We start from the raw sequence: 17,605 nt of genomic DNA, 5'->3' as shown, positions 1-17,605 counted from the left end.
CAGTGGTGGTGGTCCCACTAATAGGATGAGGCAGGGAGAGGGGATGCATGGGTCACCCAGAGGTGGCCCTCCAATGTGTGTGTGTGTGTGTGTGTGTGTGTGCGCGCATGCACGTGTGTGTTGTGTGTGTCATGTGCGGGAAGGGAAAGGAAGGATAGAAGATCATGGTGGCCATGGAGGAAGTAAGCTCACTCTTCTGCTTTTGACAGAAAGCAGATATAGCTATTGGGATTTATGGGGCAAACAGACCATTCCTGGGGTTCCCTAACCCCACAAGTGTCTTTATTCCTAATTCCTTGCCCCTGCTTTCCACTGCATTCTTCCATTTAGAAACAGGCCATGCAAGGTTTAAGGCAGGGAAGGGTGGCCCTAGTGACCTAGTGCCTGGCCTTCTGGCATGTGGGATAAATCACCACGATTCTTCAAAGGAGAGAGAAAGGAGCAGGGAGGGTCTTCAGGCCTCTGATGCTCTCTTCCCCAACCCCCCTTTTAAAAAGAGGAGGGGGCCGAGTGTGGTGGCTCACACCTGTAATCCCAGCTGAGTCAGAGGATCATTTGAGACCAGAAGTTTGACACCAGCCTGAGTAACACAGCAAGACCCGACCACTACAATAAATAAATAAATAAATAAATAAATAAATAAATAAATAAATAAATAAATAGAAAATTAGCAGAGCATGGTGGCGTGAGCCTGTAGCTTTAGCTACTCAGGAGGCTGAGCCAGGAGGATCACCTGAGCCCAGGAGTTTGAGGTTAAAGTGAGCTATGATGGTGCCACTGCACTCCAGCCTGAGGGACAGAGTGAGGTTCTGTCTTTAAAAAAAGTGGAGGATTGGGACTCCAGAGGAACTCTGAGAAGTTCCTTGTCCCCAGCTCTCAGCTCCCCTCCTCCCATTCCTTTTAAGCCACCATGTTGATCAGAGCCACCCTGGGCTGTCACTGTGGCCCAGAGGCTGCCAGAGGAAACTTCTGGCTCTGTGTCATTCACATCGTTGTAATGGCCTTGAGCAAGTCACTTAACCAGGATCCACATTCATCTATAGACTGGAATTTTCGATGTGTACCTCACAGGGTCATTTTAGTATTAGATGAGGTAATGTATGTAAAGTACCTAGCAACGTGCCCAGAATATAAGAGGTGTTAATACGTAGGGGCTATTTTTGTTGTCAACATTGAGTTGCTGTCCTGGCCACTTGCCTTGCTTCAGTTTTATATTTAGAACCAGCTAACAGTTACTAAGCATCTGCCCAGAACTGGGCACTTTCACAAACACAACCTCATTTGAGCATCTGTTTGCCCAGCCCGTTTGCCTGAGTTCTGAGCTCATATCTGGCTTGCCTCTTGCTGTTCTTTGTTCCTATGAGTTTCCTAGTTTCCTGGTTTTTCTATCAGTGCCTATGCCTTCCAGTGCCTGTTGCCTGATCTCAGCACCCAGCCCTCTCTCCCTCCCTCTCTGTGGTAGTCCAGGAATCACTCGGCAGCTCAGACCTGGTCACAACTCCTGGGTATTTACCAATGAATGGCCTGTGCTCATTGCCATCCCCGGCTCTTGCCTGCTTCCCTGTTCTTATACCTTTTGCTTCTTCTAGGGGCTGATGCTGCCCTCAGTGCTGAGTTGCCAAACCAAGAACCTCATCACAACGCAGTGCCCCAGTTGCTTTGCTCCTTGTCTAGCATTTGTTTCCCACACTCTCTGTGGGACTTTTTTTGTTCCCCTGCGATACTTTTTTTGTGCCCCTGTGATACCTTAGCTTTCTCCCTGCTCCTCATCCTATACTCTTTCTCTATTCTTAATACTTCTACCCACTCTGAGATGCTTCTTCTCCCTGCTTTCCTCCTGGGCCCAGGCCAGGCCATACCTATATAATCTATCAAAAATGGCTCAACCGTTTGTCTCTGTCACTAGCAGTCACTGCTCCAACGGAGCTTAAACCAACTTCAGCTAAATGGAATTGCAACACAATTGGTGGCTTCCAGGGACATATTTATACTTTAACGAAGAACTGTAGGGGAGGCAAACCTTTAACTCCAAGGAATGAGTCCCTAGTTATTGGATATTAACCACTATAATAGGTTATGGCAGTCAAATATTTAGGACAAAGCTGCCTTCTCTATTCTCAAAGACCTCAGTTTGCTTCATGTATTTTGGGGCTTTATTGCTAGGTTGAAATATATTTATAATAGTGATTTCTTCTGGATGGATTGACCCTTTATCATTATAAAGTGTCCTTGTTTGTCTTTGGTAACAATTTTTGTCTCAAACTTGATTTATTTTATTTTATTTTTTTTGAGATGCAATTTCCCTCTTGTTGCCCAGGCTGGAGTGCAGTGGCGTGATCTCGGCTCGCCACAACCTCCACCTCCCAGGTTCAAGCGATTCTCCTGCCTCAGCCTCCCGAGTTGCTGAGACTACAGGCACCCACCACCACGCCTGGCTAATTTTTTTGTATTTTTAGTAGAGATGGGGTTTCACCATGTTGGCCAGGCTGGTCTTGAGCTCCTGACCTCAGGTGATCTGCCTGCCTCGGCCTCCCAAAGTGCTGGGATTACAGGTGTGAGCCACCGTGCCAATTTTGTCTGATATTAGTGTAGCCACTTCAGCTCTCTTTTTATTGCTGTTTGCATTGTATATCTTTATCTTTTACATCCTTTTAATTTCAATCTAGTTGTACTTTTAAATCTAAAGTGAGTCTCTTGGAGACAGCGTATAGTTGGATCATGTTTTTTAAATCTATTCTTCCAATCTCTTAATTGGAAAGTTTAATTTATGTGCATTTAATATAATTGAAAAAGTAAGATTTGTCTGCCACTTTGCTATTTATTTTCTATACATCATATGTCTTTTTAAATCTCATGTTCTTTCATTACTGCCTTCTTTTATGTTAAATAGATATTTTCTTTCATTCTCTTGTTTCATTTACTATATATTTTTGAATTATTCTCTTGGTAGTTGCCCTGGGGATTACCATTAATATCTGAATTTATAACCATCTGTTCATGTTAATACCAGCTTAATTTCAAGTATACAAAAATGTTGCTCTAAAGTGGTCCTGTTTTCCCCTCCCATATGCTATTATTGTCACAAATTTCATCTTAATACATTTTGTGCCCATCAACATACATTTATAATTATTGCCATACACATTTTATTTAAATCAGAAAAAAAGAGTTACCAACAAAAAATAAATTTGTATTGTTTTATATCTGACTTCATAATTTCTTTTCCTAGCACTCTTTATTTCTTCATGTTGATCCACATTACTATCTTGTGCCTTTGCATTTCAGCCTGAAGGATTGCTTTTACTATTTTTTGTAGGGCAGGCTTGTTAGAGACAAACTCTCTTGTTAGAGATAAAGTTTCTCAGTTTATCTGGAAATGTCTTAATTTATCCTTCATTTTTGAAGGATAGTTTTGCCAGATATAGAATTTTTGATTGACAGCTTTTTTTTTTTTTTAAAGAACTTTGACTGTGTCATCCCACTGTTTCCAGCCTTCATGGTTTCTGATGTAAAATTAGCTGTTGGTATCATTGAGGAACCCTTCTATTTGATGAATTGTTTCTCTCTTTGTGCTTTCAAAATTCTTTGTCTTTGTTTTTCAATGGTTTCATTTTGACATGTGCAGCTATGGATCTTTTTAAGTTTATCCCACTTGGAGATTGTTGAGCTTCTTGAATGTGCAGATTAATAGTTTTCATGAAATTGGGGGAGATTTTGGTCCTTATTTCTTCAAATATTCTTTCTACTTCTTTCTCTCCTTTCCTTCTGGGGTTCCCGTTATGTGCGTTTGACATGCTTGATGGTGTCTCACAGGTTTCTGAGGCTCTGTTTATTATTATTCATTCTTTTTTCTTTATGTTCCTCAGATTGGGTAATCTCAATTGACTGATCTTTAGGCTCACTAGTTCTTTCTTCTGCCTGTTCAGATATGCTGTTGGGCCTGTCTAGTGAATTTTTCTTTTCCATTATTGTACTTTTCATTTCCAGAATTTGGTTCCTTATTATAATTTCTCTGTCTTCATCAGTATTCTCTATTTGGTGAGACATTATCCTCACACTTGCCTTTAGTTCTTTAGACATGATTTACTTTAGGTCTTTACACATATTTAAAATAGCTTAAAGTCTCAAAGAGTAAGATTGGTAGCCACCTGTCCTGTGCACAAACCAAATTCTGCTTGCCGATCTCTGCTTTCTTTCTCCTACTTCACACAACCCAGCTAGGACTCTGGCCTTTTTCTTTAGCTTGACCTCTACCCTCCTCTCTAAGGTCTCTCGTTTCTTCTGGATTCTAAGAAGGAGGAGGCCCTTCAGGTCTGAGAACGCCTCCCCTCTTCCTGAGCTTCTATTGCCCTTCTGGAGGAGGTGAGCTGCCCAAGGAGTTATCCGGTCTCTCAGGGGAAGTAAAGAGAGGCCAGACGTGCTCAGACAATCTTCCCTGTCCTTCTAAGAATTCAGTCATCCTGCAAAGCTTTACTCAAAAGGGATTGCAGGGGAAGACTGCAAATCAGGGCAAATCTGAAGCTTTTCTTTAAAAAAGCCAGCTTAATTACTTCAAAATAATGAAATTATGGGTACACATGCATACAAAACCCAAGACTTAAGTAGCCTGTTGTTGCTGGTTGTGATCAAAGCCCGAGCTTGGTTTCTGAGCTGGCCCTAGGAGCACTGCCACCTCTCCTCCCTTCCTCTGGGGAGCAGAAAGAGGCTGCACAAATTCCAACAAAGTTTAGTCAAAAGCCATGGGATTTTTACTTTATTGGTTATTCTGTCCCTTCTTATCTGGCAGGGGAGAGGGTTAACAGGATACAACCACCTTCTAAATCTCCTCCCCCACTTCCTAACTCTGTTGATGTTTCTATTAATAGACATATTAATTACTAACAATAGCAGTGACAAAGAACATCATAACTCCACCTTTTCTACAATTCAGTGGAACCAATTTAATCAAAGTGCCCTACTTAGGGAGAACATTGCTAGAAATGACAGGGATTGGGAAACCATATGGTGCTTGGCAGAGGACCCGAAACCAATGTAGAAACTGAGGAGCTTGGGCAAAGTGTGTCATTTATCGTTCTGGGGCTAGGGCTGAGTCAGGTCCAAGAACTGACCCCCTCTCAGAGCTGGGACTTCATCAAGGCTTTGGCTCTGGTTTGAACGTGGTACTTGCAGGCTCTTGTCGTAGCACCGGGAGACTCCTCTCCCAGCAACTCAGGACTCCTAGGACCAGTGAGGCCTGTGCTATCATAATGAATTATGAGTGGATCCATCTGACCTATAACAAATACCACCCATAAACAACACTGCGGTGCTAAGCAAAAATGCCTGAAGACCATAGACAGAGAGAATGGGATTTTTAAAGAAACATTTATAAATAGAAATCAAAACATGTGAAGCTCAGAATGAATTTGGGAAACATGATGGGAACTGGGATTCACTGAGCACGTGCTGCACTAGGTCAAGGGCAGAGTGTCAGGGTGTGGCCCAACATCAGGCGCATGGGCTCTCCAGGCCACTCTGCACTGAAGCAAATTGCGCCATTCTGTATGGTGCTTGTTCATACACACTGCCCACAGGGCTCTAATAATTTAGAGGCACTGGACTGAGCTCCTGAGGGCAGGAGCATTCATCTCTGTGGCCACATGTTTGGTCCAGTGTCTGACAAATAACATTCAACTTGTAGGAACAAGTGAGAGCAGAGCATCCTTTCTCAGGAACAAGGCCCATCCCCTGGTGAGCTGCTCCACTGGAGTCCCAGGTCCCTAACCTGTGGCCTAGGTAGACCTTAGGATTTGCCTCACTGATGCCAATGAGTTGCTGCTGCTTACTTTTGAAACAAAGTGTTGGCATGTTCCAGCTGCTGCGATTCAATTGCCTTTCAGACAGTGTGGTGCCCAACAAAGCATCCGTCTCAACACCCCGCGGCCTCCCCAGCTGCCACTAGTAGCAATCCATTACCCACAGGCAGCTCAACAACTCAATGTGACTTGGGCTCCACGCCTCTACACAAAAGATGCTTCCCTGCCCTGTTCTCCTCCTTCCTGTTGTGAAAGCAGCCTCCCTTGCCCTTACCCAGCTGTGGCTCTCTCAGCGGCTTCCTCTAGCCCCAAAGGCCTGCTCAGAATAAGGACCTGCACACAAGTTGTGTGGCCCTGGGCAAAACCTGGAGCTGCTTGATGTTCTGAGCCTGCTTTCAAATCTGCAAAATAGTGCTCTCTGCCTTACTCCCTCGCAGGCTCGTGTGAAGGTCAAAAGAGAACTCCTGGGAAAGAGCTTAGTCAGCTGAAAGGCTCTAAACAAATGATAGTTATTACATCGTCCTCTGTCTCCCCATGCAAGAGACCAGAACAAAACAATATACAAAAGAGAGAGAAAATCCCACACCTCTTGGTAACTGGAAAGGCTGAGGCCATGGGTGAGAGCACCTCCCATTTCCCTGGGAAAGGAGAATAAGTAAAACTTGAATTCCTTCAATTAGAGACTCATCTAAGAATCCTTTCTATCTTCCCACTCTGTTTTGAAGTAGGACAGGGGGCCCAGCATCACAGACGACAAGGTTCTTACCTTGTAGTTCTGGTCTCATTTGTTTCTGTATTTATCAAGCCTGGTACATAAACACAGTAGGTAGGTGGATGGATGAATTTGCTGTCCGGTCAAGACTTCAGCTAGCACATTCCTAATTGACCTGCCTTTACATATATGGTTTCTAAAACACTTTCACACTGGGATGATGACAGAGTTCTGGAGATGGATGGTGGTGATGGTTGCACACACTATTGGGAATATACTTAATGACGTTGAATTGTACATTTTTAAATGGTTAAAATTGTAAATTTTATGGTATGTATATTTTACCACAATAAAAAATTTTAAGAAGAAACACTGTCACAACATTTGTGTTCCATGAATGAAGGAAGGATTCAATTCTCTTTGATCCCCAGCAACTGAAGCTGTAAGACGCTCAGTGTTGGTCTCAGGTTATATTAAGAGATGAGAGAGCTGGAAAGGAAGACAAGCTCACGTACAGGATTTGGTGCTTCACTGTGCTTCAGGGGAGGAAACAGCTAGAAATGCACAAGCAGAAATTAACATGCCGTACAAATGCCTCTACCATAACTCCCACCCTCCTTCCCCTGAGGGCCTCACCCCACCTCACCCGACTCTCAGCTCCGCAGTGGGAGGGTGCTCAGTGCTCCTCGACCTTCTACCCCTGCCCACGAACATGCTTCTCTGTTGAGTGTGGCCCCGCACCCTGTAGACAAGCTTCTGGTCGACAGACCTTCATATCCTGTATGCCAACAGGAGCCCCTCGCCTAGCTCCAGAGTAGATCGTCAGAGTGTGTTGAATGACAACAACAACAGAAACAAGTGGCAAAAATCTTGTGTGGTTCCTGGAATTTTGTTGCATTGACTATAGCAGGAGATACATTAATTAACACCCAGAAATATGTTGGTTTTGCAGAGATTTGCATTGTAATAATTTACGGTAAAGACTAGAAATCAGCATAGAAGGATTGGCGCTGGAGAGGGAACCTGAGTATGCAGTTCGGGGATGAAGGGCTGACTTTGGCTTTAAGCTTATTCTGAGGGACTCAGGAGGGCCGGATTAGAACTGGTGATGGCAGAGCGAAAGGATTTCAATTTATCCCAACGGAGGAGTTTATCTCCAACAGTGCTGTCTAGCAAGGAAACAGGCTGCCTCACAGGGTGAACTTTCTGAAGCTCTGCTCTTAGAAATGCAGTTGGGAAATTAGGTACAAAGGATTACAAGGCCCCCATCTACACCCCACAGTCCTGGATCTGAGGGTGAAGTGAGAGGATATAGCACAGGTGGTACAGGGAGTCAGGATGACCTGAGCTAGGAAGATTTCCAGGCCCAGGAGGACGGGGGGCTAGTTCATTTCTCAAGTTCAGTTTCCCTCCTTTAACCCGTCTCTTCTTCACTTTCCTCCCTGTCCTACTTCTTCCTCCTCTTCCCCACCATCCCTCCTCCTCTTTCTACGTCCCCATCAGGGAGGGGAAAGCACCTGGCTTGGAAGTCTATCTAGCCCAGAGCGATTTGCTCGGCAGCTTCCCTGGCGAGGAGGGAGGTGCTGGATCCTGGCCAGAGCCCTGCCAGCTTCCCTATTGTGGCAAGTGAAATCATCAGCTTCACACTGCGGGTCTATTTAAATCAGCCTTTCATGTCTGATGGATTTAAAAATATGCTAGGAGTCGGCATCTTAAATACAAGAAACACAAACAAGCAGATGAAACTGCATTTTTCCTTCCTCTGTGCTCTCCCCGCTCCCTCTCCCCTTCCTTTCCCTTCTCTCCTTCCCCCTCCCAAAGCAACTTTCATTCATAAGGCCCATCTCCCCTGCTCTCCCCTTCCCTCCAGCCCACTCGGTGGCACAGGAAGCCTTTAGTCTGAGCAGTGGCTGGCAGCACAGGGGTCTGGCTTCCCTCAACTCTGCCAGAGACCAGTAAGTACCCCTAACCTCTGCTCCACCCCCCAGGGTGAATGCTGGGTGCCCTCACTCTAGCCAATCCTCCCCTCACCCCCACCCCCGGCCAACGGGGTCTTCTGCATTGACTAGTGTGTACAAACAAGCCCCAGGCTGGCTGAGAATTGGCTCATTACGCTCACTATGCTCCCTCCTCAAATCATAGACAGGAAGGAGACTGTGGCCCAGGCAGGAGGAGGGACGTGCCCAGGGTTTGAGGTCAGTGAGCAGCCAAGCTGGTCCCTGGCCCATTGCCCTTGCTATCCACAGCTGGCTCCACACAAGCCTTGCAACTTCTTCCCACTCAGTGCTGGGAAGGGGGTTCACTGCACCCAGAACCCTACAACTCCAGTAAGGCATCTGTGAGAGTCTCACAGCTTCCATGGCAGCAGGGTTCCCCACATCACAAAGGACGGATATTCACTGGGAACCCTTCTGGGGCTTTGATCTAACCCAATCTTCTCCTGCTGTAAATTAAGCCACATCCCCTCTAATCCCTGGGCATCATTCCTTTGAGACTTGCTAAGTGGTCTCTCATATGCCCCATCTCCTGGCAGGTGGCCGGCTGCCTGGCCAGCACTGCAGTCGCTGGAATCAGGAGATCAGCCCCCCAGACCTGGCAGTACTGCCCTGGCCGGACTGCACTGTGTCCCAGACCACATGAGCCCAGGTGAAGGGGCTACTTCGGGTTCTCAACAGTGGATGCAGGTTCAAATCACCTGCGGGGCTTTTCTTTATTTTTGGTAGTTTATTTTATTTTTTAAAAATAGGTCAGGTGCAGTGGCTCACACTTGTAATTCCTGGCCCAGGTGGGAGGATCACTTGAGGCCAGGAGTTCAAGGCTGCAGTAAGCTATGATTGCACCATTGCACTCCAGCCTGGGTGACAGAGCAAGATCCTGTCCCTAAAAATAGTAATATCAACTCTTGCACCCCCCCGCCCCGCAACTGCTGCTGGAAATTCTGATTTAATTAGAAGCTGGAAGATCTTTATTTTTCAATTGTTTAACATTACTATTATTAGCACCAACAGTAATGAAATGGAATAATAGAAAGCGAAAAATCTCAGAAGCTTGCAAGCATTTTCTTGACCTTAGATCCACTCTTTGATGCCTCTTCCTCTTTGACCACACTGCCTGCGCTCTCTGAATTCTTTAAGAGGATGTTGATGACTTGCTTAGTGCCACACGGCAGGTCATTAGTAAAGCAGAGATCCCAACAGGGTGCTGAGGCCTCCCGAGTACTGCCAGACCCTCTCAGTGGCCCGGACAGCGGTCAGTGCTGATTGTCTACACCCAGGAAGGAGGTGGGCTCAGGGGCTACACTGACTCATCCTGTGTCTGTGGGTGTACAACACACACACACACACACACACACACACACAGATGAAACCACGCACACTACCCATTCTGATTTCATCCCTAACTCTCTCCTCTTTAGTCCTTTTGTTAATGGCCTGAAATACTTCCCACCCAAGTTTCAATACGTGCTGAGGTACCATGCCATACCCTATGCTCTTAGAATATGAAAATAAAGAAATCAAGAATCAAGGAGCTCCAAGTTGGTGAAAGATCTATATCAGCAAACAGGTAGAAAACAATGAGAGAGGGATGATGCAGAATACAGGATGAGCATCCCTAGTTGGAAAATCCATAATCCTCCAAAGTCTGAAATGTTTTGAGCATTGGCATGACGCCACAGGTGGAAATTCCACACCTGACCTCATGTGATGAACCACAGTCAAAACACAGCCAAAAATTTGTTTCGTGCACACAATTATCAATCTACATAAAATCACCTTCCGGCTCTGTGTGTAAAGTATATAGGAAACATAAATAAATTTCATTTTTAGACTTAGGTCCCATCCCCAAGATATCTCATTATGTGTATGCGAATATTCCAAAATCCAAAAAAATCCAAAATCCAAAAAAAAATCCGAAACCTAAAATGCTTCTGGTTGCAAGCATTTTAGATCAGGAATATTCACTCTGTGCTATGGACATTGAGAACTGGACACCCAGTTGCCTCTGGGTGGAGGAATGGGGGTGGGGGGGACTGCTAGTTCCAACAAAGGGGTTCATGATTGGTGGGGGGAAATAACAGAAGGAAATCAGGGAAGCAGGAGAGTGACAGCTGACGGGGCCCAGGCATGCGGGACACACGGTTTGTATGGCCAGGGCGGTGCACAGGATGAGGACTCCGGGGATGGGGGACAGAGCTGGGGCTTCGACAGTGAATGGGAGATGGGAGATCAGAGCCAGACAGCCTACCCTGGGCAAGCAGGAGTTTCAGTATCAGCCTGTAGGTAACAGAGAGCCACTGGTGGTGGGGGGATCGGGGGTGGGGTTTAAACAGGAAAGCGACAGGAGCAGATTTGCAGTTGTGCCTGAAGAAAGAGTAGAAGGATGGGGTGGGAGGTAAGGCCGGAGGCACTTCGAGCATCACCCTCTGGCCAGCTTCCTCAGGCCAGCACAGAGTAGTGGGGGTGGCCAGGGTGCGTGAGGATGGAGGTAAAGCAAGAAACCGCATAAGCAACAACCTCAGCTCTAATGTGTTACGTGTTTATTCTACCAGCCAGGCCATACCTTTAATCTCAGTCTTCCCAGAGTCCGGCGTGCTTCCAGGCTACCCAATTGTACTTCCCCCATCCCAGACTTCAAGTCATTAAATCTCAAACACTGAGTTTTTAAAACTTAAATCCAGACAGCCTCTGATTTCTCAAAATAGGATTTCTCAGAATGAGGTGAGGGCATGGGGATTGCACACTACAAGCTTCAAGTCAAATTACATTTTTGGATTATCCATTACTTGAAATTCTGCAGGTCATAGTCTTCTCCATGAATGTGAATATTCAAAGCCAGCTGTGGCTTGTGGACTGGGAGGGAGTAACATAAAAAGCTACGTGTGTACAGCTGTGTAGAGTTCACAAGTCACTTCCGCAGCACGCCCTGTGGAAACAGAGCCAGGGAGACTGGCGACCAGGGCGAAGTTGGGGGTGGGAGGGCCAGGGCTTATCTGGCCCCAGGACCCCCGGCTTCAGGGCTATAGTCACGGTTGGGGGTGGCAGGGCCAGGGCTTATCTGGCCCCAGGACCCCCGGATTCAGGACCATAGTCACTTTGTGTGGACGCGGCACGAGGTTTGCCTTCTCGACTGGCCATCGCTCCCCAGGCCTCCCTTGATCCTAGACATTACCCGGCTCTGCTCCCCACTCTTCTCCCCTCACAGAGCCCCCAGAAACCACATTGCCAGAGGCCCACTCAATAGAAACACTTTGCAGAGAAACACCTGAAAGAAAATATTGTGAGCGATAATCAATAGGCAACATTAGCAGAGACAAATTAACTCCCCGTGTGGATGAGAGCCACGCGGTCCTGGCCAGATGCCAGCCAGCATCCTTAATCCCATTTGCTCTCAGTTATTAAAATGGTTTTCCAAGAAATGGCCCATCTCTGTAGTCGCACGCTAATGAACGGCAGTCAAGCAACTGAGAAACCTCACATCTTGGTGGTTCAACCCTCCATTCCTCCGGCTACTCACTGGCAAAGCCTCCACGGTGTCTTTCTGCAGCCCGGGCAGGAAATTCTTTTCCTCCTGGAGCGTTTACTTCTCACTCCTACCCCCAACTTCCACCAAAAATAAGCCATTCTACTCTCCTCCACTACACAGTTGGGGGCGGGATCTTCTTAGAAAGCTCTGAGCCCAGGGTCACAAAATAAGAGCTGTAGAATCACAAAAATCACAGTTTCTTTAAGCTGGGTGAGGACCTGAAGTTAATTCTAGGCGAATACCTTCCTCCCATAAATGAGAACACCGAGGCCCAGGGCGGGGGAGAGAGTAGGTTCGGAGATTAGGAGCAGCAGGCAGGTTGGAGACTGCCGTGGGTGCCATGGCATCAAGTCAGCATTCGCTCATTTAGCAAAGATTTACTAAGCACCTGTGATGGGCTAGGGACTTGTACTTGCCACTGACACGCAGCATAAGTGGGATGCAGAGCCTGCCCTCAAGGAGATCACAGTCTGCTGGGGAGACAGATAGACACAAAAACAGATGCTGGAAATGCAGCATGGTGAGGGTAGGGCACAGACGGTGGGCTTTGCTCACCTCCAGAGAGCACGGGAGCCAGGTTGTGGGGCTCAGAAGGGCCGATGTGCCCAAGTCCCGGAGGTGTGCAAAGCCTGGCATAATTCCTAGGAGGAGCAGCTATTCTATACCTATGCATCACATACCTGGCATGCTTCTCATTTAACTCTTACCACAATGCCACCGGGTAGATAATACGACTACCATCATTTGTAAGAAAGGAAACTGAGGCAGAGAGAGGCTGAATGACTTGCTCAAGGTTACGCAGCCAGAAGTGGGAGAATCGGGGTTTGAATATGTTCCTCCGGCTCCAGGGTCCTGTGCTTATTCTTATCTCAGGTCATTCCGGGTCCTCAGTCTAGGACACCATGGGGAACCTCCTGCCGACTGGCCCGTTCCACACTCTGCAACGTGCAGCCTCAGGCCCCGAGTCACGTTTAATGACCTCAGATGCCTGGAAGTCCTGGCCCTGCTCTGAATTCCCCTGGCATTTCTAATCTAGGTATCTCCGAAGCCACCTTTGGAATTATTCCCAAGCAACACAGGATCCTGTGCCTTCTCTCTTTGGCCACGTGAAGCCAGCACTCTGACCCATTGTGGAGAGAGACTGTACTTGGACTTGTTTTTCCCTCTCTCCCTGGGAGAGCCCGGAGTCATCTGCATGTTCTTGTCTGGAGCCCTCAGTTCCAAGAAGAGAAAGAGCTGCCGTTGATAAGCAGCTGCCTGTGCCCCGGGGTGCATTACCATGTGATCTCACATGATCTCATTTAAATCCTTCAGTGTCATTTGACACTTGCAACAACCCTGGGAGAAAGGTGTTATTATCCTCCCCATCTAACAGGGAAAGAATTCACTCAGAAGCAGACAATTCCAGTAACTCCCTGCCAGTCTCAGCTACTCACTGGAGGAGCCAGGCTCAACCCCAGGCCTGTTTATCTCCATGGCTGTCTGGAGTTCAAGGCATCATCCATGCCCATGAAACAGAGCTGCGTGTCTATGTAGCCTGTGACTTTGGCTTGAAGTTCGATGCTCTATCCAACGGAGCTAACCAACCATGGCCAAAAAGCAGTTGTCATGATATCAGAAACCCATTACAACCCACGGAGCCTCTGAAAGGTGCTTCAAGAATATGTTCCGTGAGTTGAAAGTGATGCCAAGCATTCTGCTCCCCTGGAAACAGCTGCCCAGCGCTTGAAGCAGCAAGAACAATCCCCAAACGCAGATCCAGCCTTGCACCAACCCTTCCAACTGCCTTCCCCCTCCCAGGCGATGACATACTCTGAGCCAGGAGGAGGCTGTCCTCCTGGGAAGAACAGTATGACATGACACCAGAAAGGACGATGCAAATGATCTCAGAGTTGCACAAATTGGCCGGTTGCAGATTTCCTCCGGGTGAACAAGGCAATCCTAAAACGCAGCAATCTATTCAAGCCATTGTCAACAACAGCAACCAAAAGAAGCCTCAGTCCCCATCCTTCACTCATGGTTCCTAGAGGTTCTGCCGCTGCTACGGATGACCTGTTCTGCGGTTGATTTTCTGAAGTAGGCAGTGGGTTAAGCGTATTACCATTTTTCAAGGGAAACAACTGCCAAATTGAGCTCGTTAGCTGGTGAGCATGTGTGGCATGCAAATCTTGTCTTGTCACTTTCCTGATTAAAATCCTTCAGTGTTTTCTCATTGCCTAAGGAAAATGTGTCCTTGACATAGTTTGCAAGGCCCTTGACCATGGAACCCAGACTGTATCTCAGGCCTCCCTTCTCTGGGTTCTCCCCTGGTCCTCTGCGGGCTCCTCTTTTTCAGCTGTGCCAAGCTCTCTGGACTCCTTCGGGCTGGGCCCTGACACTGGCTGTTTTTGCCGGATCCTCCCTCCATCTCTCCCTCCCCTCCTCTTCCAGTTTTTCAAGGCTCTGTTTAAAGTCCTCTCTTCAGGGAAGCTCTCTTGTTCTCAGTCTCTAAATAACAGTCTCTTACTCCCTCAGCCTCTGCTTCCTTTTCATAATATTTATCCCTCTTGTTTAGTGTCTGCTTCCCCAGCAGCCAGTAAATTCCAAGACAGTAGGCTGGCATCTCTTTTGTTCAGTGCTGCGTTCCCAGCACCTAGCAAGAAGTCTGCTACACAGGAGGCACCCAAGAAATATGCATGACATGGAGGAAGTCAGGAGAGACCACTCATGTAGCACTCCTGGTTCCAACTGGGTCCAGAACCTGGCCTCATGCTGAAAAAGAAGTAGCATCATCTGCGCGCCGTGCCCAGCATGCAGGTAACAGGCGCTGAGTGAGTGTACCTCCCTCCTGCCTCCAAACAGATCTTCCATGTTTCGTGGTGACACGCATACAGCTGTGTGTGCAACACACTATACAGACCATACAGACCATACAGCTGTGTGTGCAACACACTATTTCCACATCTCTAGGTTTTGCTCCTCATTCCTGCACAGATGTTTTCTTGGGAGGCCCAGTCCTTCCCTGAGCACAGAGAAGGACCCCTACAGTTCTGTTCTCCTGTTGCCTTCTGACTCATAATGCCATAGTGGTGCATGCCTCTGACATATTAATGGCAATTTCTGACAGTGGGGATTTGGTTGGTAATTTCCCGATAAATGTAGCCAAACAAGTCTTAAGCATTGATGCGGCTGTTATTGCCATCAAGATTAGGTTCTCAGCCTAGTCCCCACCCCATTCCCCTGGCCGGTCCCCAGAATGTGCTTCCAAGCCACTAACTCCGGTCATCAAAGAGAATAGGTTCTCCAAGAATACAAATTCAATATATTATTAACTGAAACTAAATATGACTAAAGGAATAATTCTCCCAGGAAAAGCAGCATGTGTTGAATTCCAAAGTAAAATAACACTTTGGATTATCTTCTGCTCTTCTCCCTGGTATGCAAAGCAGGCACTGGGCCTAGCACGCTAGGCACGGTTTCAAGGTCACCAGCAAGTTCTTGTGATTTGAAATGGATGCGGAGGCAGCCAGAAGGTGAAGCCCTGCCCGAGTGCCCCAGGTGGGTCTGTGGCTTCTCTCCAACTGAGGATCTTTTCATTCCAATGGAAAGACATACACCTATTGGTGCCATGGAAGGACATACATGGGTGCCAGTTAGTCACAGCATGCCAGAGGGCTACGAGATGGGCTTTAAGATCTCCACAAGCCACTTTTGAAGCCCTGAGTCAATGAACCAGAGCCCTGAAGCAGGCCACTTCTGCCCAGGGCTTTTGGAAAGCTCTGCAAGTGAGTCACCTGAAGTGCTGCCCCAAACTCTGGGCCAGGCCCTGCAGCCCAGGAGCCTGGGCCGCTGCTGCCCTTGGCTCCAACTGTGGTGCCTGCTGCCCTCAGGGCCTTTGCAGACCCATGGGCCTCCACTTCGTCATCTAAATGTGCTTCTCAAGAACAGAATTGCAATCCAGAGCAGAATGGCTATTGAAGCAGCAGTTATCACTAGAATTTCACTGTGCTTTGTTTTTTTAAACACATTTTATATTGATTTCATTTCATTCTGAGTTGTCTCCTTTTCAGCAGAAGAAGATATAGAGTCTCACAGTGACTTGCCCAAGATCACGTCGTTAGTAAGCAGCAGTGCCAGGAGTTGACTAGGTTCTTTGGCTCCAAAACTCATGTCATGCAGCAGAGCTGTGTGGCGGCTGATGGTTGCCTTTGGAAATGGGGACAGCAGGAGCCTGGGTCTGGTGACCCGCATGCTAGGGCTTTCTCTGCCCCGTTTGCTCCAGCTGCTCTCTAGCCTTAAGTGTCAGCTAATGGTTGGCACACTCTCTTTGGCACTTCTGTTGTGAGAAATGACTTACTGCCAGCTTTAAAAAGGGCCCTGGGCCTCCCGGAGCACTGTCATTCTCTGAAAATGACAGGCTGCCCCCCACCCCACCATGGAATTCACAGATAGCAGGAAATTCAAGCACGTTCTCTTTCTGTTTCTAGGGCTTAGTGACTGAGATAAGCCAACAAGCAACATGGCTCACCACCCCCTCTGACAGAGGTTGTGTTGCAGAGCTGGGCTAAGAACTGTGGCTGGCCCTCGGGATGAGATGGGTAGAGCTGGAGCTGGTAGGCAATGGCAGAGGGAACTTACTTTCTTGAAATTTAGGCAAGAGCAGGCCCAGCCTAGCTAGACACTAATAACCACAGAGTTCCATGATGCCTGCTGTCTCTGCTATACTGCTGCTACCTAGTTCAGTGCCTGGAGCCTATTAAGTATCCAATACTGGAATGTGTTGTGTCTGAGCCTTTGCTGAATATGGACTAATTGCTTCCAATGGGACGGGGACATTGGAGGCTCCAGGCCTGGAGCTCAGCACATCCACTACGGTTAGACACGTACTGAGGAGATCACCTGTCCTCGGGAAGTCAGACTTATGTTGGAAGTCACCAGACAACAAAATAGGAGTCTGGGTATAATATGCCACAGCCTGGCGGTCTAGGGAAATCTAGGTGCCCCCAGGTAGAGCTGTACTCAGAAACAAGATATCTAAAGAGATGCTAGTCAGGAACCCAGGCAGGTAGCAGGGGTCCTGAAAAATGTTTCTTCAGGAAGAGGGCTCCTAAAACCAGGCTGGGGCCGTCAGTGTGGTAGTGAGGGGATTTGCAAAAACAAGACAGAGTCCCCATACTATGTGAGATCAAGGAGATCAAGGCAGGGCACATGCCGGGTGATCAGAACTGCCCCTAGGCCAGGGACAGATTCCAGGCCAGGTGAACACGGTGCAGAGACGGGCCAAGATGTCTGGCTTAATTTCATGCCACTACTGAGGTCTGAAGTGAGGTGGAGTCTATAGGTGGGATTGCAGGTATGACGTCAAGGGGAGAGGGAGCCTTCGGAGATGGGTCCATGGAGGGCCTGGCTAAGGCCTCATTTCCGCCCACAGAGTTGACAGAGGCTTGGGTGTATCTAGGGTAGATGGCCTCCATGGGGTGGTTTTTATGAAAGTAAAAAAAATATTGGCATCTCCCAAGGAGCACAAATAGAAGAGGCTGGAGCCTGCAGGTCCTGGGTGGGGGGCAGGTGCTCATGGGCACATTCCATGGGATCA

General features: G+C 47.6%; 3 annotated features.

The window, feature by feature from the left end:
- Positions 5,440-5,939: an enhancer, noted in NCBI's record as "H3K4me1 hESC enhancer chr12:3716737-3717236 (GRCh37/hg19 assembly coordinates)". NCBI's record gives its function as "activates a minimal SCP1, AML or CMV promoter by ChIP-STARR-seq in naive and primed H9 embryonic stem cells {active_cell/tissue: H9 hESC(naive and primed)}" and the evidence as "EXISTENCE:reporter gene assay evidence [ECO:0000049][PMID:30033119]".
- Positions 5,940-6,441: an enhancer, noted in NCBI's record as "H3K4me1 hESC enhancer chr12:3716235-3716736 (GRCh37/hg19 assembly coordinates)". NCBI's record gives its function as "activates a minimal SCP1, AML or CMV promoter by ChIP-STARR-seq in primed H9 embryonic stem cells {active_cell/tissue: H9 hESC(primed)}" and the evidence as "EXISTENCE:reporter gene assay evidence [ECO:0000049][PMID:30033119]".
- Positions 12,754-13,579: an enhancer, noted in NCBI's record as "H3K27ac-H3K4me1 hESC enhancer chr12:3709097-3709922 (GRCh37/hg19 assembly coordinates)". NCBI's record gives its function as "activates a minimal SCP1, AML or CMV promoter by ChIP-STARR-seq in primed H9 embryonic stem cells {active_cell/tissue: H9 hESC(primed)}" and the evidence as "EXISTENCE:reporter gene assay evidence [ECO:0000049][PMID:30033119]".

Source organism: Homo sapiens, chromosome 12, assembly GCF_000001405.40.
Source record: "Homo sapiens chromosome 12, GRCh38.p14 Primary Assembly".
NCBI lineage: Eukaryota > Metazoa > Chordata > Mammalia > Primates > Hominidae > Homo > Homo sapiens.
The sequence above is the reverse complement of the archived record's forward strand: the minus strand, read 5'-3'. Positions and strand labels throughout refer to the sequence as shown.